Source organism: Homo sapiens, chromosome 3 (genome assembly GCF_000001405.40).
Source record: "Homo sapiens chromosome 3, GRCh38.p14 Primary Assembly".
Classification (NCBI taxonomy): Eukaryota; Metazoa; Chordata; class Mammalia; order Primates; family Hominidae; genus Homo; species Homo sapiens.
Window position 1 is genome coordinate 73,282,363 of NC_000003.12, and position 21,186 is coordinate 73,303,548.

The 21,186-nt window shown below is 42.1% G+C and overlaps 1 long non-coding RNA gene across 1 annotated transcript in view, besides 1 other annotated feature; it reads left to right on the forward strand.

Moving 5' to 3' along the window:
* Positions 1–21,186, forward strand: part of LOC107986098 (uncharacterized) — a 222,236-nt gene that overhangs the window by 187,129 nt on the left and 13,921 nt on the right. The gene's annotated exons all lie outside the window — the stretch shown is intronic.
* Positions 12,166–12,666: an enhancer, noted in NCBI's record as "H3K4me1 hESC enhancer chr3:73343679-73344179 (GRCh37/hg19 assembly coordinates)". NCBI's record gives its function as "activates a minimal SCP1, AML or CMV promoter by ChIP-STARR-seq in primed H9 embryonic stem cells {active_cell/tissue: H9 hESC(primed)}" and the evidence as "EXISTENCE:reporter gene assay evidence [ECO:0000049][PMID:30033119]".

The following is a 21,186-nucleotide window of genomic DNA, read 5'->3' on the forward strand; positions in this document are numbered from 1 at the left end:
TGGCCTGGAAAGGTATATAACTTTTTAGCATAGTTAAAAATGATGACAAATGTGAACCATATATGACTTTTTGCCTCAATTAGACTGAAGTTGTGCTCATTTTTGGTGGTATTCTCTCAAATAAAATTCTGGGAAGCAGGTCCTATAGATAGAGTAGTTTCTTCTTGCCCTCTTTTTTTTTCGTTTTTCTTTTTTTCGAGACAGAGTCTCGCTTTGTCACCTAGGCTGGAGTGCAGTGGCAGCATCTCAGCTCACTGCAACCTCCACCTCCTCGGTTCAAGCAATTCTCCTGCCTCAGCCTCCCAAGTAGCTGGGACTACAGGCGTGTGCCACCGTGCCTGTCTAACTTTTGTATTTTTAGTAGAGACAGAGTTTCGCCATGTTGGCCAGGCTGGTCTCAAACTCCTGACCTCAGGTGATCCATCTGCCTCGGCCTCCCAAAGTGCTGGGATTATAGGCATGAGCCACTGTGCCTGGCATCCTTTTTTGTTTTGCTCAGCATCTTTATCCTTTAAGTCTCCCCACTCTCAGTAAAAGGCCATCACTGAAAAGCTGACAGATAGTATTTGGAACACCTGTGAGTCCTTGCCACATCTGGAGTGGGCCTTATGTGTGAGAGGGTTGGGGGTAGGGGTAGCTGAAGAGGGAAGGAGCTTGTGCACAATCCAGAAAGACCTCTGGGTCTTCTTACCTTTGACCTCTTGATTCCAGTAAGCAGGAACCTTCTTTTGTGGGCCAGAATGCAGTCTTTGAAAGAGCTGAGTTGGTCAGATAAGGCTGGGTCATCACGGCATAAAAGGCAGCCCCCTGGGCTTGGTATCTGCCATGAGGTGGGGTTCTTTTTGGCAATGAACATTATCAGTGACATCTTTTGGTCTCCTGTGATGTTGAGTAGAGCTCCGGTTTTCACGTGAACTAGGGAATTGTATGGTGCTAACAGTCAGCAAACTTTTTGGTAAAGGGCCAGAGAGTAGATATTTTTGGTTTTACAGGCCAAGGGGTCTTTGTCACAAATACAGTAAGTCTTCACTTAATGTTATTAATAGGTTCTTGGAAACTGCAACGAAATGAAACAACGTACAGCAGGTCCTCAACTAACATCATTTCATTATAATGTTGATGAGGAAAAAAATTGGTTATACATGGTTTCACTTAGTGCCACAGTTTCCAAACACCTATCACTGGTGTTAAGTGAGCACTTATTGTGCTTAGCTCTGCTGCTGTAGCTTGAAAGCAGCCTTTGCCAGTACATTCACAAATGGTGAGGCTGTGTTCCAATAAAACTTTATTTATGTATTTGTTTTTGAGACAGAGTCTCGCTCTATTACCTAAGCTGGAGTGCAGTGGTGTGATCTTAGCTCACTGCAACCTCCACCTCCCCGGTTCAAGCGATTATCATGCCTTAACCTCCCAAGTAGCTGGGATTACAGGCATGCACCACCATACCCACTAATTTTTGTATTTTTTTGTAGAGATAGCTGGGGTTTCATGATGTTGGCTAGGCTGATCTCAAACTCCTGGCTTCAAGTGATCTGCTCGCCTCAGTCTCCCAAAGTGCTGTGATTACAGGCATGAGCCACTGTGCCTGGCCTCCAGTAAAACTTTATAGAAATAGAAGGTGGTCTGGATCTGGCCCCTGCAAACTGTAGTTTGCCTGCCCCTGCACTATAGCATTGTAATTACAAATGTGAATTCTGGAATGAAACGCACCTGGTTTCAGATGCCAGCTCCACAGCTTTCTGGTGGTGTGACCTTGGGGAGGACACTGACTCCCCTGAACTTATTAAAGTTTGGAGGAATCAAAGAGCTCCGATGAGGAAAATGCACAGGCCTTCACATTGCTGTTATCAACTCAGAGAAATTACATCAGGAACATTGTACCTTCTACTTAGAAATGGAATCTCTTTAGTAGGAGAGAAAAAAAATCCTATTTTAAAGCAGAAGATTAGGCCTTCTTTTAACCTTGGCAAAACACGATCCTGTGGCCACTTGAGACTCTGAGCAACATAAGGCATCAGAAAGGAAACTATCTACCAAAAATATTTTGCTTTAAAAATCAAGGAGTAAACCAGACAGTAACTGGCATCCTTTAAACATGTTAACTTTTTTTCTCGTCGAGAAAATAAAGATACATTTCTAAAATCAAACTTCCCTCCGTTTTCCATGAAAAATGCATTTTAGAACAGACTGAAAAGCCTCAATGTGCCTGCAAAACCACCTCCGTGCAGTCCAGCCGGAGCGGTCTACTGCAGAGCCTCTCACGGCAGTGGCTGTTCAGCAAAATCCAGGGGGGTTTGCTTAATGAGGGGTGAATACAATACGGACTCAGAGATGCGGCCAGTTGTTTTTTCACAGTTGGTAGGCAGTGTTGCAGGTGCATTCTCTTAATGAGGGTTAATTTGTCTCATATTTTAATCTGACAGAATCTGGCCATGTTGTTATGTATTCCTCAGAGGTAACTTGCTTGTTCTTAGTTGGCATAAAGAGAGAAAATGGAGCATAATTTGGGGGTTATTCGAATGATAGAGCGACAAGCTGGAATCTGTAAGAAATCTTGATTTTCTAGTGCCCAGAGTAATATTTACATGGAAGAAGAGCATTTTAGTAGAAATGGCAAAGATGAAGGGAGGCTAAATTACATTTCTGGAAGACTGTAGTTTGCAGCCGTTCACTATACAATGAACTGAATCAAGCAAACAGACTAGAGGTGTGATTTTGCACAGCATCTGCAGTTTTGCCTGTTTCAAATATTGCTGCCTACAGTGTATGCCATGGTTCCCACCTTAAGAGTGAATACAGATTCTGTTTATGAAAAAAAAAACATTTTTTACTAAAAAATCATAAAATAATAGCTTATTGTAAAAAGTTAAAATTAGTGAATAAGGTTGATAATTTTTTTTCCCTAATTCAAATCTCAATCAGATGTAAGTACTGTTAAACTGCCTGGATATGTTTTGAATTTGGGGAGGGGTCATATGTAGGTATCTATGTATACATTCATGGTATCTGGGAGAGTTCTTTTACTTGCACAAGACAAACCCAACTCAGACTAGCTTACACCAAAGTGAAATCAATCGCTTATGTTATTGGGAAGTCCAGGTGTGGATCTGGTTTCTGGCATGATTCGATCCTGGGGTTAATTTGAAGTCTTCCCTCTTCTTTCTGCCTTTTGCCTTTTCCATCATTTAGTTGTTCTTCTCTTTTCATTTCAATCAACTGCAGATGGATTTCCTTCCCTTGGTAGGAAAGATGCTCACCCACACCCCCAGACTCACAATGCACCTATTCAGTGATTCCTGTAGAGGGAGGAGTGTCTGTAGCCACAATCCTGTAGATCAATCCCTGAGAAGGACAGTGACTTCTTGCTCTGTTTTGGCCATGTTCCTACTGCTTAGACCAATCTCTGCAGCTAGTGGGGATTCTAACAGGCTGGACTTGGGTTACTTCTTATCTCTGTGCCCAGGTGGGGTGGTGGTTATCATTGGATGTTGCAAATGACAGTACCACATGAACTGAAGGAAGGGAGTTGCTGGCACTAGAAAAAGGAAAGAATGCTAGTTAGACACGCATACACTTTAATTTAAAAAAACAAGAGGAATGCTCTATAGAATCTTTGCTATTCTGTAGCTTCATTTTCCACTTTGTGTACACCTCTGTGTGTGTTCTTATAGCTTTCTTTTTAAATACTATATAATCTTCTTACATATGCTATTTAGCCAAAGGAGGATCCATTTAAATAAATGCAATCATAGAGCATCCACCTCAGAGCCCTTGGCAATTTATATCTTCATGTTTGTGTGTCTTTGGCTATCCCCAAACTCCTAATTTCATTAAATAGATTTTTTTTCTTAAAGCCAGAAAACAAGAGATATCATATTAGGTGTAGGATTGGCCATCATCAGCAAAAAAGAAAGTAGAGCTTCCTAAACATTCAGGAAAGCCCTGACTTGTTCTTTATTGCCTGGAATTCCACCTCAGCAGCTCCTTTCCTTTTTGCTTGAAAAATGAAGATCTTAGCCCTGGAGGGGTGATAATGTTAGCACTGAATCACTTTTACTCCTTAAGGTAAATGAATATTTTCTAAGCCTTTTCCCTTTATGGGGGTTTGGTGGGAGGTGAGAGAAAATCTTGGACCTCTGAGAACAAGAGAGTGCTCCTTGGCTGGGGGACGGTAAAAGGGTCAGTAGGAGAGAAGGAAAGAGGGGTGAGGATAACACCAAACACATAGGTGGCTCTGGGGACACACTGGAGCTCAGTGCTTCATTAGATAAAAGTCAGAAGCTTCCTCGCCCCTTGGAGATTCAGCTCCATTTGTACCAGACCCTGTGAGTCCAGCATCCCCTCATTTCTGCCTGTGTCTTTCTGCCTCTACTCTGCCCTCATCTGGGCATGCTGCTTTGATCTTTGTTAGTTAATATCCAAACAACAAAGCCCAGGTCTTTCCCTGGTTTCCACAGAACACCAACTCACACCCTAGCAATTGGTGAGCATAGGAACTGTTGAAAATTTGCGGGTGCACACAGACAGGAGCAATGTTAGGATCCATGTGGCTCTTTCTGCCACCTCCTGGTGCCACCATGTTTCTTTCTATCTTCCTATTGGCCTCCCTTCTGGAGTCCAAAGACATCTTTCTTGTGCTTTCTACAGAATAGTTCTGTACAAAGTTCCTGAGTTTTCACTTTATACCACAAGCACTTTTCAAGAAGTAAAATATTGTTCTCCATCTGGCTAGAGCAATGGAAGGGAAAGAGCAAACGTGTTGGATCAGGCAGGCTTGATTTCACACTCTTGTTCCTTTGCTCACTGACTGTATAACTGGGCCATTTACTAAACCTCCCCAGACTGTTTCCTGATTGGTAAAGATGGCGGTAACAATGCCCACCTCAAAGCATTGCTGGGAGCATGAAATGAAGTGGGGCTGGCAGAGAGCACACGGTCTGGAGACTTGTGGGGCTGGAGGAGAGGAGGCCATTGAATGGCCAGTTGGGGGTTCTTAAAGGTGTATTGACAGAGCTGGGTCTTAGAAAGTTCTGGGAGCACAGGGAAAGATGTATGCTTCAGGTGGGTCCACGTAACTGCTAATGAGCTCTGGGGCTAAGACAATAGCAAATTTGAGCCCTGTCATGAGAGTGTCAACTGAATTTGATAATTTACTAGATTCAACCTTGGAGTCAGCTTCTGTTCATCAGTTACCTTCTGCATTTATTTGTGTGATTTACTACTACCCACTCATTATGCATATAGCATATTTTTCTAATTACATATTATTTTCTAATGGCAGCCAAGAGAATGCCTCAGCAAGGTTTGTACCCTTTACTGTGGTTTCCAAGCATGAGGGCTACTTCTACTGTGGTGCCCAGGTGTAGGCCCCGGGACAGTGGGGCCCTTTAGTAAATATTAAGTGAGCCACCATCTTTGTGCTTGTTCACTGTAGAAGAATTGAGAGGTATGAAACATAGAGGTCCTTGGTGAATTCTTTGGAAGGAAGAGAATCTTTCTCCCAGGCAGAGTTGCAAACACCTCTCTACAAATGATAGTTACCTCTGATCACAATGATTATCCAGAGTAGGTATCTCAATAAAATTCTGTTGCTGCAATTTTTGGCATCTGCATTGAGGAGATAATTGATGCTACTCTCATGCCTACTGTGTGGGGTGGGATGGTTAAAGGAGAGGCAGTAGAGTATTTGCAAGAAAAGGGATTGGAAAATGCCATGAGAAACTGTATATTCAGACAAAACACAAACTGTCAGGAATGAGAGTTTTCTGTTTTGGCAAAGTCACATGGGCTTTAGAATTTCCCCCAAATCTCAGATGTGAATCCTGAAATTACCTCTAGGCTGTTTCAACTAAATCATGTGATTGGTACTCCTTGATAAGACCTGTCTCCAAAGGCTTGGCAACCAAGAAGGCTGCTGTTTCGTTGGATCATCGAACAGTTCTCAAACAACTTCCCTAGTGTTTGAGGAACCAACTGCCTTCTCTAGGGCTGGCAGCTCCATTGGTACAGCCTCCTGCCTTGTCCCATTCTTGAGTTTATTTGCTATGGGGTAGATATAGCATGAAATTCCCAATTCTGTTTATGTCTGACTTGAACCATGTTTATCAGACTCATCACTCCTTATGAACGTTGAGATGGACCTTTGAAATGGAAGCCGAATCTTATTAAAGGCTTAATCACAGGCCTTCAAGTTGTAAATTGTTTGTGATACTCTCTCTCTCTCTACTTGTGCAAAGCAAGTTTGGTATCTAAATTTCTGTAAGGTCATTGAGCTAGAAGAGCTTGGATTTACTGTAAACTTGTTGAAATTATAAAGAAAAGTGTGTGTAAGGATAATAGATTCCTGTTACATACACTACATGTTCATTTAATCTTTTTAGATTAATGTCTAATTACTGAAATCACTTAAGTGCTACCTGAGAGTTTGGTGTGGGAGTTGGTGTCAGGATTTCTCTTTCAATAGGGTCTGGGACCTTCAAATCTTACTCACTTGGGTCCATGAGACCCATCTCACAATGAAACCAAGGAAATTTTCCTGAGCTACATAATGTTCAGATCTGCCTAAGGGCTTGTGAGGGAATAAGAAAGGGAGGAGAACTGTGCTTATTGAACAAAGCTGTCTGTCTTGAGTTCATCCAACCAAGGTTAAAATAAAAAGGAAAAACAATGAAATGGGAAATTTTGTTTGGTTTTGGTTATTGCTATTTTTTTGCCTGCTGTCATCAGTACTTTCCTTTGTCCACTTGCCAGATAATATGCAAGTTACCCCCTGCTATCCTTGTCTATACTTTGCAACTCTTGAAAAATCAAACTGCCCTTTATTTTGACTGTTTTTCATCAAATACAAATGCTTATAAATACACCAAGGCATAAGGTCAGAAATCAATTCCATCTTCCTAAAATTACTTGCATGCAGTAGACTGCTGCTCCAGGGAACCCAGTTCAATATCTCATACTTTACTCTTGGAGATTACTTGTTTAGATTCTTAATATCTGGAACATGCTATGGGATATTTTCTCTTATTTTCTTTTAAAGCAAAGAATTCAAAAGTGCTTAATGAAAGGAGACTAGAAGACCAGAGAAAACCAGCGTTTAAATTGCGTGCAAATATAGCACTTAGCCACACCAGATAAACAGCTGAATCCTGGGTGCTGCTGGGTCACTCGTCTGTGCCCTTGTGTTGCTGAGGATTTTGTCACAGGGTCTAGGAGTCCTTACCACCCAAAATTATGTTGCTGCCGTGCATTAATGGTATCATTTCCTTTCAAGGTGGGTAGTTTTTCTTGATAGACTAAAACATTTGTCGTAAAGACTCTCTAGTCCCATCAACAGATGTCTCCACTCATTGTGAGCTGTGTTGCAAGTGATTTGATCCTAATAATCAAAGTATCAAAGCCATCTAACTATATATTATTTTTAAAAGTAAATGAATGATTTCAAAGTCATTTCTACAATAGTATTCTTCTTGAACACCTGCTGTGTGCTGGGAGCCAGGGCCACAGTGGTGAACAAGGCAGACAGGCTTCCTAACTTCACAAACCTCACAGTTTATTTGGAGAAAGACAAAAAGGTGAACAAAATATTAATCATAATTTTTAAAAGGCAACAAAATAATTTCAGATAGTGGTCACTGCCATAAGAGAGGTAAAATAGTGTGGTAGAGGGAACGAGATGAGGGAGAGTCACTGTAGATAAGATGATCAGAGAAAATTTTCCTGGGGAGTCAACACTGGAGCTAAGACTTAAGCCATTAGAAAGATTGGCCCATACAAAGGTCTGGGGAAGAGCATTATAAGGAGAGGAAATAGCAAGTGCAAAGGCCCCATGGTAGGAATCAACTTGGTATCTGTGAAGAACAGTAAGGAGATTAGTAGAGAGGAATCGTAGACAATGACAAGAGAGGCAGCATGGAGTTGTTTCGAAGAGCATGGACTCAGGAGCCTGCACTAGAGTTCCAGTTGCCTCGCTCACTAGCTCTATGGCCTTGGATAAGTTCGTTAACCTCTCTGTGCTTTGTCTTCCTCATCTGTAAAGTGGGGGCAATGATAGCCCTACGTCATTGTGTTGGTGTGATAATTAAATGAGCTGACAGTTGTGAAGCACTTGGAATAGTATCAGGAACATAGCAAGCACCATATAAATATTTGTTAAATAATATTTTTCAAGAAATTAGATGAAGAAGAATTGCATGGGATCAATTTGATGCCTAGTAATTATAGTAATTCCATAAACACAAATCTTTCAATGCCATGGATATCACTATTAAAGGAAGAAATGGTTGAAATGCTGACCTAGTTCAATACCCCCATCTTAGAGAAGAAACTTGATCTTCACTTGCAGGTTTCATTTAAATTATTTATTAAGTATAGTATCTATGGCTGTATTCTTGTTATAAGACATTTGTATAATGCTGCCAAAGCTAAATTCTGTGCTGTTTCTATCCTCAATTCAAGTCCTCTCTCTGGAGGTCAATATCTGACCTTGTTGACACTCATTCACATGCTTAAGCCATACATATGAGAAAATATAGCTTAGTTTTTTATAGATGATATCATAAGAACACCTTGTCTTTTAAAATTATGAAACACTGAGATAAAGTGCACATAACGAAATTTACCATCAGCCATTTTTAAATATACACGCAGTTCAATGGCAGTAGGTACATTCACATTGTGCTAGAATATCTTGTTCTTAAAATTGTCTTCTTCCACTTTTAATGTGTATATTTTCACTTAACAGCAGGTCTTAGAGGTTTCTCTTCAGCATTAATGTAGCTTTTCCTCATTCCTCTTAACTGCAGCCTGGTGTTTCATGGTATTGTAAATAGCTCTTTGAATCATTTCCATATTAGTAGACATTAAATTACTTCCAAGTTTTTGCTGTTACAGGGAAACTGAGTCTTTAAAATATTTTCTCCTTTTACTGCTAAATAATGAAACACAATTCAGAACCATAATGAGTCAGAGCGCAACTTCTCAACAATTTCTTGTTGCTCTTAAGGCAGACCAGTCCCTTCCGCCTTGGCAGAAGGGAGAGCAGTTGATCTGCTGTTGCTCTGCAATAACCATCTTGGGTTCCAAGCTGGCCCAAACTGAGCTTTGGCTTAATGAATTATGGAGGCAAGATACCTTTTTAATAAAACCCCACCTGAGAGAACTGCAATCTGCTTTGTCTCCCATTTGTTTGCCTGCCTTCGTAATTTGAGGGGTGCTCAGATATGGCCTGGTAAATAATGGCAGTGTGATTTGTAATCAGACACCTGTCCATACCATCGCAACTGTCGGGATTCACAAGAGTCCCTTCGCATCTGGGGTGGTGCTGGCAGCCACACGCAGAGCCCAGCAACCCTTTAGTGGCTGAGAGGGCATGAGAGAGTTAGGCTCCCCGGGAGGTGCCATTCTCTGAATCCCAGGCACTGGAAGCCCTGAGCTCCCTGTGGGCAATGGTTCTCCAGCACTTGTCTACTGGCAGGGCTTCTGAATGGAGTGTGGCTGTGTGTTGCTGTTAGGGGCTGATTGTGGGCTGCCTTATACATGGCACGGACTGTTCCAGAGGGGAGTGCATATTACAGATGGGTTAAAATATAAAACAGCAAGTGTTTGTAAAGAAGTGTTCATTCACATTTTATGCAAGATTTATGATGTCAGTTGTCCATGTCAGGTATTATTATTACTCTTGCTGTGGTTACTACCTTGACTACTACTACCTGGAGTGCTTTAGGGAGACAGATTATTGGATGAGCCTCAAGCCTTTCTTAAAATAATCCCTCCCTAGTGCTGCTCTTCCCTTCACTGTTGCTTATTTGTTTGAAAGTAATCTCTCTGCTACCCTTTTCTGATGAGGAGGATTAACGGTCCAGATTTCCACAAACTAGACCCTTCTCTCACCTTCTCTGGTGTGCTAATATTGGCTCAGTTTGAATTAGTAGGATTTAATCTTGAAATGTGTACTTTAAAAAAAATATGAATTTTCTGCCCGACACTCAAGTTTGGCCAGAACATTAAAGAATGGGTCTGCTTGAGCATCTAAAGACTCAGGGAGACTTGGCAGGCGATCAGGTTCCAATTATCCCATAAATCGTACGGTAGGCTGGGCTTTGCTTTGATGTTTTCAAAGGGAGAGTAAAAGAGAAAACAAAAACCAAAGCAGTAACAACCACCACCACCAAGACCAGCCTAAAATATTCCCACCTGAAGGAACAACTCAAACTAGATCTCAAGAAGACAGGAAAATGGGGTCTGGCTGTTTGACTAGATGATATTTTGATATTTTGTCTGGAGTGTGCAGAGTTTGATGTTTTAGAAATTCCAAGTTGCTCCAAAGTGAGGAAGAGAGTGGGTCCATTCTCAAGTGATTTCTGTCACCTGCAGACCATTCACATTCCCAGGGATTTAGTGTTGGGGACGTGCGCTTTGTAGTTTGTAACTGACCAGTTCCAGGCTGTCTAAAGGACATAGATGCCGAGAATCACTTTTCATTTGGAGACATCAAATTGTCAGCTGCCAACACTGCCTGGTCAATGCCAACAACATTGGAAATGGTGACAACCTGGTTCTGGTCTTGTGAAGAGACTGGTGTTTTGGTGTTGCCACTAAGAAAGTGGCTATGTAGCTCATGTTAAACGTGGTTAAACTTTGTTCATAATGAGAGTTGACTTTTATTGAACACTTATTATGTGCCAGGAATCATGATGACTTTTTCGCATTAATTCAGTCAATTTTTATAGTAACTTTAGGAGGTAGGGGACATTATCCCATTTCAGAGCTAAAAAAACTGAGGCTTGGAGTTAATTCACTCAAGGTCACATAATAGGGATCACTCTAGAACCTTCAGTCTTAATCAGGAGTCAGCAAGCTATGGCCCACAGGCCAAATCCAGCCTCTGCCTTATATTGTATGGCCCATGAGCTAAGAATGGTAAAAAAATGGCTTTAGAAAAATCAAAAGAATGGGCCGGGCGTGGTGGCTCATGCCTATAATCCCAGCACTTTGGGAGGCTGAGGCGGGCGGATCACAAGTTCAGGAGATCGAGACCATCCTGGCTAACACGGTGAAACCCTGTCTCTACTAAAAATACAAAAAAAATTAGCCAGGTGTGGTGGCACGTGCCTGTAGTCCCAGCTACTCAGGAGGCTGAGGCAGGAGAATGGCGTGAACCTGGGAGGCGGAGCTTGCCGTGAGCCAAGATCGCGCCACTGCACTACAGCCTGGGCGATAGAGCGAGAGTCTGTCTCAAACAAACAAACAAACAAACAACAAAAATCAAAAGAATGATATTTTGTGACAGGTGACAGTGATATAAAATTCAAATGTCAGTGTCCATAAACAAAGTTTTATTATAACAAAGCCTTCGTTATGTATGCTCTGTCTGAACTACTTCTGCTACATAACAGCAAAGTAGAGTAATTAATTACAACAGAAACTGTATGGTTTGCAAAGCCTAAGATGTTTACTATTTGGCTATTTACAGAAAAATTCTGCCCACCCCTCTTGATCCTTACACAATTACCTACCTGTTAATCATCACTAATAATAGTGAACATTTATATCACATTTTCCGTGGACCAGGCACTGTTCTAGGCACTTATATTAATTCAACAATGGCTTTGAATCAGATGTCATCATTAACCCCCTCTTTACATGTGAGGAAATTGAGACATCAAGAGGCACAATTCTAGGCACTTTTACTTCTATGAATACAACCCTAGAGAATAGGTGCTCTCCTTGCATTTGATAGATGAGGAAAATGTGGATGGAGAGGTCAGATGACTTTCCAAGGGTTACACAGTAAGCAGGAACTGGACTCCAGGTCCCCACCCCTCAATACCATGCCCTACCCTAAGCAAACACTTTTTTTTTTTGAGATGGGGTCTTGCTCTGTCACCCAGGCTGGAGTGCAGAGGTGTGATCTGGGCTCACTGCAACCTCCACCTCCTGGGTAGCTGGGACTACAGGTGTGCACCACCACACCCGGCTAATTTTTTTATTTTTAGTAGAGATGGGGTTTCACCATGTTGGCCAGGCTGATCTTGAACTCCTGATCTCAGGTGATCCACCCGTCTTGGCCTCCCAAAGTGCTGGGATTACAGGCATGAGCCATCGCGCCCAGCCAGCAAGCCCTTTTGAGAACACACTGCAGCTACAGCATTTTTACAGAAGCAGTGTCACCGACAGGTGAGGCCATCACCCTCCATGGTGACTCTGACAGCCTAATCCAGGCTGGCCACAACTGTCTTTGATCTTTGGAGAGCTGGCTCCCCGCCTTCTTTCCTCGGTGCACCCTAACTCCTCGGCAGCCCATCCGTTCTTCCTGGGGAACCAAGCCTCAGTAATGACCTCATTTGCATCTGGGAGGGAGGAGAAGATTTAGTTGAAAACCTAGTGGGCCAAGGCACATTCCAGTGGCGTGCCTCTTAAGCCGTGTGCTAAAGCAAGTCTTGGTAATACCTTCTCTCTCTGGAACCAGAGGATTCGAATCCCAGCAGACCCTGCTTCTTTTAAGTCAGATAAATGGGGGCTCATGTGGCGTCTGTGGGAATAGTTTTGATGGTTTTGCAAGGTGAGTGTCCCTTGCTTTTCCTTTGAAGGCATTGCTTTTTAGGAGTTATGAGTGAGTCCCTGTTAGAATAAATTTAGTTGGTATGTCTCAAAAGCCCTGGTGCTCATACTACGGCGGCATAAGTAGGGCATATGTTTTGGAGGCATGAGAGGAGAAAGGTACTTCCTATATTCTTCAGATTATTTTCCATTTCATGCTACTTTCCCTTGCAGCACTCATCAATTCCAAGAAAACGCTCATCAAGCACCTCGTTCAAAAAGCATCCTTATTTAGGTTTTTTTTTGTGATTGATTTTTATTCCTAGAAATTTTTCTCCTTAAAAAAATTAAATCAGAATTTCAGACATTTGAATCTACTGAGAGAAAACTGTGTGTAAGGCTTGAGCTGCAAGCATGAGAGATACTGCATTTGAAATAGACAAGATATTTTAAATTCTAAGAAAAAGCAGAGTGTGAAGTACTAGGATTTATGTCGATTTACATTGACTTAGGAGTGTGAGGGGAAAGACTAATTGAGAGTAGGTGGCTGGGGGCAGTTCTGGGAGGCTCTCTGATGGAGGTGGGATTTGGAATCAGCTTTGAAATGAGAATCGGTTTTACAGAAGAGTATTGGGAATGGATTAGCAACAGGAAAATGGGTAACATCATTCAAGGAGTTAAAAAACATGAAGAAACATGTTTGCCTTCCTTAGCATGGCCAGTTAAAGCGTAGATCCAGGATAGGCAATCTACAACACGTAGGCCAAATCTGGCCCACGACCCGTTTTCGCAAATAAAGTGGAATGGAGCGCAACCACACTCCTTTGTTTGCGTGTTATTTATGGTTGCTTTCACCTTACAGTGGCAGAATCAGTAGTTACAGCAGGGTCCAAATGGCCGTGAAAACCTAAAATATTTACCATCTGATCCCTTTACAGAGAAACTTTACCACCCCCTGACATTGATAAAGATGTACTGGGTAAAATAGGATGGGAAGGAAAGGAGGGAAACGGGGAAAAATAAGGAGGTTTAGAAGAAGAATGAGGAGAAAAAGTACGTGGAGAGGCAGAAGGCAAGAGCTTCTTAGATTTTGTTTGTGCAAATGTGAGCTCTTTTTTCAGTTCAGCCTGTTTCCCACTTTCAACCAAATATGGAATGACTGTTATTCACAGTTCCTGACAGCTCTACTTTCTGTGGGACTATGGAGTTACAGTATAATCACTGTCAGCCCAAGGAGATCTATGATAACAACTTGCCCCGAAGAGTTCAGTGTAATATAAAATTCACAAGTAAAAATTCAAAACTCCAGAGAGCCATAGGATGCATGAATATGCGCCACATGCGGCCCGGAGGCCATTGCATTAGCATCCTGCTTTAGAAGCTCCACACTAAATGTGACAACTAGTAGAGCAGCTCACCAGGGTGAACTTAGCATTTCCCCAATTTCTAGATGATTCTTTGGTATTACATATCAGATAAGTTAGGGAAATGCTGGGTTAAAGAAAATTAAACGTATTTACTTGCTGCAGGACTTCTCAGAGCCTTTAATATGACTCACAGAGCTCTGGGAGCAGAAGATAAGGTGTTGCATTTCTCAAATGTATTTCACATGAGCTTCACCCACCGCCACCCTTATTTTTATAAAACATTTTGGGACGCAGTAGCCTAGGCATTATTTCAAGATCAATATATTCCATATACATTTAAAGCTAGACAGAATCTTAAAGGTCATACAACCCCATGCCCTCATAATAATGTTATGAATTATCTTTTCAGGAATTTTATAAAATCATATTTAGGCCTGGGAATCTGTGCTATTGATGTTAATGTTGTTCTTGGAAATTTGTTTATGGTGTTTGGGTTTAGAGATTTTATAATTGCAGTTTCTAATCAAATTCTGGCCTCAAATTCTGTACTCTTCTTAGCCCTGAATTCTTTCCTTCCCAAGGGGGTAATGTCGAAAAGGGGGTAAAAATGATAAAACTTTATAATTGACACTTAAAGGTCAGCCACTGGAAAAAATGAACCAGCGCATTGACTCAATGGTTGTGGATGATGAGTTTTGGTTAAAAAAAAAATCCTGTATTTCAAATACAGCACAGAATCAGCCCTAATTGCCTGAACTGCGAGCTTCCAAATGAGCGTTTGGGAATTGGCAGTCAGCACCAATCCACATCTGCTGTGATAAACTCCTGACTCTACCATGTCCCCCATCATGTGAAGAAGTCTTACTGTTTTCCCCAGTAATACTGTCACTTCAATGCAGATTTTGCTTCCTTTGTGACAAGCTTTGTGAACAAGGGAGGGTTACCGTAGGGGTCGCCTCAGAGCTTCAGAATAAACCAAGGGTATTTTCCTGAAGAGTCATTTTTAAATTTTTTTTTTTTTTGAGGTGTAGTCTTGCTCTGTTGCCCAGGCTGGAGTGCAGTGGCGCGATCTCGGCTCACTGCAAGCTCCGCCTCCCGGGTTCACGCCATTCTCCTGCCTCAGCCTCTCGAGTAGCTGGCACTACAGGTTCCCGCCACCATGACCGGCTAATTTTTTATATTTTTAGTGGAGATGGGGTTTCACCATGTTAGTCAGGATGGTCTCCATCTCCTGACCTTGTGATCCGTCCGCCTTGGCCTCCCAAAGTGCTGGGATTACAGGTGTGAGCCACCGCGCCTGTCCCTAAAATAACTTTTGTTGAAGTATGATACACACACATATACAGAAAAGCACACATCACAATTGCACAACTCAAATTTTCAACCCATGCACGTGCCCCATAATCACTCCTGGAGTGTCAATTTTAATCACATAGTCTACTTAAAGCAAGTACAGATGTATTACAATAGTATATCTGATGTTTAAAAATAAATATCAGACTTCAAATAAGTCAGAGCTCTTTATGGGTCACTGTAGGTTCTGACCCCGGAAAAGCTGCTGTCTATTTCTCCAGGAAAACAAGCAGACTCTTCTTTGCCATTAAGTTGTTTAGTGGAAAAAGTTCGAGAAGAACTGACTGGGCAGGGAAAAAAGTAATCATCCCTCACACTGTGTACTTATCTTTTGTTAAGCATTGGGTACGTAGCACCATAAATTTTCACGATGAGCCTGAGGGCAAGTACACAGCACACTTGGGCAACTGAGGCTTCAGGGAGTGGAGTTACCTGTCCATGGCACACCCTGCTGAGTTAGAGTTAGGACCCCAGATCTGAATGGCCCGAATGTCCATTCTCTTACTCACTCTTTTCAGCTGTCTCTGTGGCATTTCTGTTTTCTTTTGTTTGGGGCAGGTGATCTTACAAGGCTCTCTCTCTCGAGATATCTCGATCTCTCTCTCACCCTGTCCTGCTCTCTCTCTATGGATTGAATATCCTAGCCTCTTGTTGTAAGCACTCCAAAAACAAGAAATTCATTTTTAGGATGGAGACACACACCGATGATCTTGTTGCATAGCCCTCTGTCAGTTTTAGAGGAAAAGCAATCCAAGTTGAATTTGGAATGAATTACCTTCAAATGGCCATGCTTTGCAATGTACTACTGTAATCTGGGATATTGCAAGGCAGCTTAATGTGCTGGGTGATGACACGTATGGCCATTATGTGGCTCTCCCTCATTGAATGCGCTGGGCGCAGCCCAAACCATAAATCTGCCAGCAGACAAAACATAAAATTTACATGCAAGATCAAATCTCCCCTGTCCTGATTTTTATACAAGGGTCACCAGTGGGTAGTAAATTAAGATTCAGAATAAAAGTTACCTGCAGGTGCTAAATCACCAGACCATGTCAGGATCATAGAATTTTCTTTTGTTAATAACGCCAGTGTGTTATCAGCGCCCGTGCTTATATAAACCACGGGTCAATGTATAAGGAAAGGTGCCCTTTGTCCCTCAGAGATTTTGGATATCTTTTGTCAAACGTTGTTACATTGTTTTCCCAAACAGCAGGATATCTGGTACCAAGACCTGGGTTTGAAAACTAAACACAGGAGACCAGACATGCTTGGATGGTCTGTAGTACTAATAAATCTCTGGTTGCCAAGAAATTACACATATATTTTAATTTCATTAGCTTTCAGGAAATATTTATTGAGCACCTGCTGCCAGATATCGTGCTGGCCACTGAATGTGCAAATATGAGTAAGACAATTCCATTGAGAAATGATCAGTCAGAGACCAGGGCAAGAGAAGGAAACTACTCCAGGTATTTTAAGCAGGCAGAGATTTTATGTTGGAAATAAGAGGCTTATAAAATCCCAGGAAGCATCGAAGGAATACTTCAAGTCCTGGCCTCCAGAAATGATTCCCTGAGCACCTCTGAGGCACGATCCAGGCAACAGGAAGGAGGCACCAAGAATCCATTGTCAATGCTTCCACTGCAACTATCTCTTAACAGAGTGGAGAATGCATTCCTCCCAATTTCTACCACACATATCTCTGAATGAGTGCGTATACATAAAAAGATGTAACATTTTCCTAACCAGACCTGGAAATTGCTTATGTTGCATAAAAATATTCTACTCAGGGTTAGAGAGCACCATGTAAAGATCTTTGAATCTTCCAACTGCACTGTAATATGCGTAACTGATTTGTACTGCACTTTCATTCAACTAAGTAGCATTTATTGAGGAACTACTGTGCATTGATTAGCGCTAAGTTACATTCTAGGAGGAATACAGAAGACATGTATGATGTAACACCTGTTCTGTACGGGTTTACAATAGTACCTTGCAAAGACAGTATTTTAAAATTACAAAGTGCTCCAGAATACATTTTCTTCCTATGTGCCTAACAGCCACACACCTGTCAGAGTGGGTATAGGGGTGTGGAGACAGAGTAGCAACAGAAGCAAAACCACAGCAAGTGGCCCATGTGTCTACTTTCCATCTGTAAAATCGCCTCTTTCTTGCTTGCAGAGTTTTATACCTGATGGAACAGGGACCATGGATGGAAAGTAGATGCAAAGCAGTATGCTCTCCCCTCCCACTGCACTGTGCCAGGACTTCCCTTAAAGAAATCCTCTGTGTGCACAGGATGACTGGTGTGCTGGCGGAGGTGGCTTGGGTGGGTTTGTGTAAGAAGAGAACCCAGAAGTTTGCATTTCATTGTCTCGTGCTTGTCAACATCCCTACATCTACCTTGCATAGATGGCAGGCTCCTTCAGATCGAAAGGATTAAAGTGATGAACCGGCTTCCTTAGCTGATAATGGGGAAGGGTAAAGGGAAGTTAGCATAAGGACAACATGTAAGGAATACAGGACATCCCATGATATCAGGGCTATTACTGAGGACACAGCAGGAGACTGAGTGTCTGATAAAGGCTGCCATGATGATGGTAATTATTATTGTAACAAAAGCCACTAATACTTGCTGAGAACTTATTTCATTCCAGGCACTGCACTAAGCTGTATATCCTTACCTCTTTTTTGTTGTTGTTTCATTTCATTTTTAAATTTTATTTTTTAAAAATAGGTAACAGAGTCACAACTCAGAGAAGCATAAATGGATATTTCTGTCCCCTGGACAACTGTGTTATTATTTTTGTATATCCCTGCAGAGATGTCTCATGCATACATAAACAAGTATCTGTATCTATTCTATACCCTATCTTTTCCTTTTTCTTTTTTGTTTTTTGAGACAGAGTCTCACTCTTTCACCAGGCTGGAGTGCAGTGGTGCCATCTCGGCTCACTGCAACCTCCAACTCCCTGGTTCAAGCGATTCCCCTGTCTCAGCCTTCCAAGTAGCTGATATTATTATAGGCGCGCACCACCACACCCAGGTAATTTTTGTATTTTTAATAGAGACAGGGTTTCACCATGTTGGGCAGGATAGTCTCCATCTCCTGATCTCGTGATCTGCCCCCCTCCCTCAGCCTCTCAAAGTGTGAGATTACAGGTGTGAGCCACCATGCCCTGCCTCTTGTACTTTTTAAACACAAACAGAGGCATTCTGTATACCGGTTCCAGACTCAGCATTTTCACTGAACGATGTGTCGTGATTTTGTGGTTCTTTCCAGGGAAGAACATAAAAGAACCCATTCATTTTTATTTTGGGGAGGGCAGCATTATATCCTATTGTTTGGATAACATAATTTGTTTAGTCTTCTGTTAATAACTGTTGAAATTTTTTGTTTACAAATGGAAATAGTGCTGCAATGAAAAACCTCTTTTGTGAAGATATTTCCATTGCCAGTAGATCTGTAGGATACTCCCAGAAGCGGAATTGCCAAGTCAATAGGTTTATGTCTTTTTTCTTTTTTTCTTTCTTTCCTTCTTTCCTTCCTCCTTTTCTTTTCTCCTTTTCCCTTTCCCTTCCCTTCCTCGGAGTTGCTGTAGTTGCCCGGGCTGGAATGCAATGGTGCCATCTCGGCTCACTGCAACCTCTGCCTCCCGGGTTCAAGTGATTCTCCTGCCTCAGCCTCCCAAGTAACTGGGACTACTGGCACCTGCCACCACGCCTGGCTAATTTTTGTATTTTTAGTAGAAATGGGGTTTCACCATGTTGGCAAGGCTGGTCTCAAACTCCTGACCTCAAGTGATCTTCCCACCTGAGCCTCCCAGTGCTGGGATTTGAGGCATGAGCCGCCGCACCCAGCCTGTCAACAGGTATATGTCTTTATCATTTTGGGTAGATATTGCCAGTGTGCCCTGCGTGGTGGTCAGTCTATTTATTTATATGGCAGCGGACACATTTCTGTTGCCCACAACACACTGAGATCTTCGACTTCTGTGTCATTGTTAGGGAGCTAGGCAAAAACTGTCCCCTTAGTTTAGTTAAAACAGGCACTGGTCTTATTGTGAGTGAACATCTTTTTGTGTGTTTGATGATTTGCATTTTGCATTTATATTTTCTCTCTGCTTTGGCTTATCTCTTTGACTGGTTCTAGAAGTTCTTATTCATGAGAGAAGTGAATCTTTTGTCCGTGATGTGAGTTGCTGATATTCCCCCATTTGTCAGTTGGTTTTTAAGCTTTATATATGCGGTTTTGCTGTACTAATTTTAAAGCATTTGATGTAACTGAATTTTTTCTTCCAGGTTTTGTGCTGTATCGGAAGGGTGCCTCCCATTGTGATGTTACCCACACATACTCCCATGTTTTTTCGTAGTACATCTAAAGCTTCATTTTCGGATTTTCATTTTTGATCTATTGCCATTTATTCTGGTACAAGATGTGTGTATTTCTGTGTATGTTTCTGGTGGCTATCCTGTTATCCTAATACCAATTATTGAAAACCCATGTTTTCTCTCTGATTTGAGATGTCGCCTTTATACAGCATTATTTCATTTAATTTTCATGACAATTCTTTGAGGTTGGCCTCAGGTTCCCATTATATAGATGAGGAAACTGAGGCTCAGAGAGGTCACATAAATCATGCCCCTAGAAGTGGAGCTGCCCGGGTTTGAGCCTGGGTCTGTTCTAGTGGCCACTGTGCTATACTGCTTCTGTCAACAGCAATTCTATAAGGTGCTCAGTCAGGAGTTGACTTTCTGCTCCAGCTCACGTTATTGTGGCTCAGCTTTTGTCTGTCTCTGTTGTTACTGCTCCAGCGTTATCTACTAACACCTCCTTTCCGCAGCTTTTGGGATCAAATGCTTTAAAGGGGAGACGGATTAGTCAGCCTGCAGCCATCCACTGCAGCAGTCCTCGTGGGCAGAGCTCTCAGGCAAGACTGCTTCCAATGCCATAACCTGTTTGTAGATCTGCTGCCAACCCCACTGGCAGCCTCAGTCAAGCCAACCTCTGTGATGCAGCCACCCACAGGAGAGGGGTCCTTCACTCTGAGACTCCCCAGAAGGGGGCCGTTTGCTCAGCTGTCTTGGGGTATGGGCAATGTTCATCATTCTTGGCATGAGTAAAGCCTTATATCCTCTCTCTACAAATCAGAGCTTTTGGGCTGTAAGCAACAGAAAACCAACTTGAACTAACTGCAGCCAAGAGGAAGGTTATAAAGAGCAGAGGTCTAACTAGCCTGGGGATGCCAGGATTCAGGAACTTCAAAACCATCAAGGGTCTGTTTGTCTTCTCTCTTCCTCTTCTTCTCTTTCTACCACTTCATAAATCCGAAACAGGCCACATGAGCTGACAAATTGACAGTGCACAAAATCCAAGAGAAAGATTCTGACAGGCCAGACTTGGATGATAGATTTTTACTGAAATAATCACTATGGCCTGGGAAAGGGGGCATGAGACGTGTGAATGACCCTAGGGTGAGGGCGAATAGGAATTGTCATTGGAAGTTGCAGCAAAATCATGTGGTTGGAAGGGGAAGAGGTAGGGAGAGGGTGACTTTTACCAAAGGAGAGGAGGAAAGGTATAGGGGCAGAGAGCAAAAGTACAAACTGGTCCCATTTTATTCTGTCCTTTGCCTTACAGCCAAATCTGATATTATCTAATTTTGTCTGATATTGTCTAATTTTGGCACCAAATAATGTCTCCTTCTTCCCTTCTTATTTCTAGGCAGTCTCATTCTGCCTAGAAGTTCCTGTGAATTTTAAAGCAACCACCTTCTTGGATTTGTGGCTACTGATCAGTTTGTGTCAGATAAATGTATTTGCATACTTATGGATTGTCTTATCCAATAAGATGTTATTGAATTCTACATGCTAGTGGTCTGCTCTGTTACTATTATTGTGGATTGGAGATTCAAGATCTATAAATAGT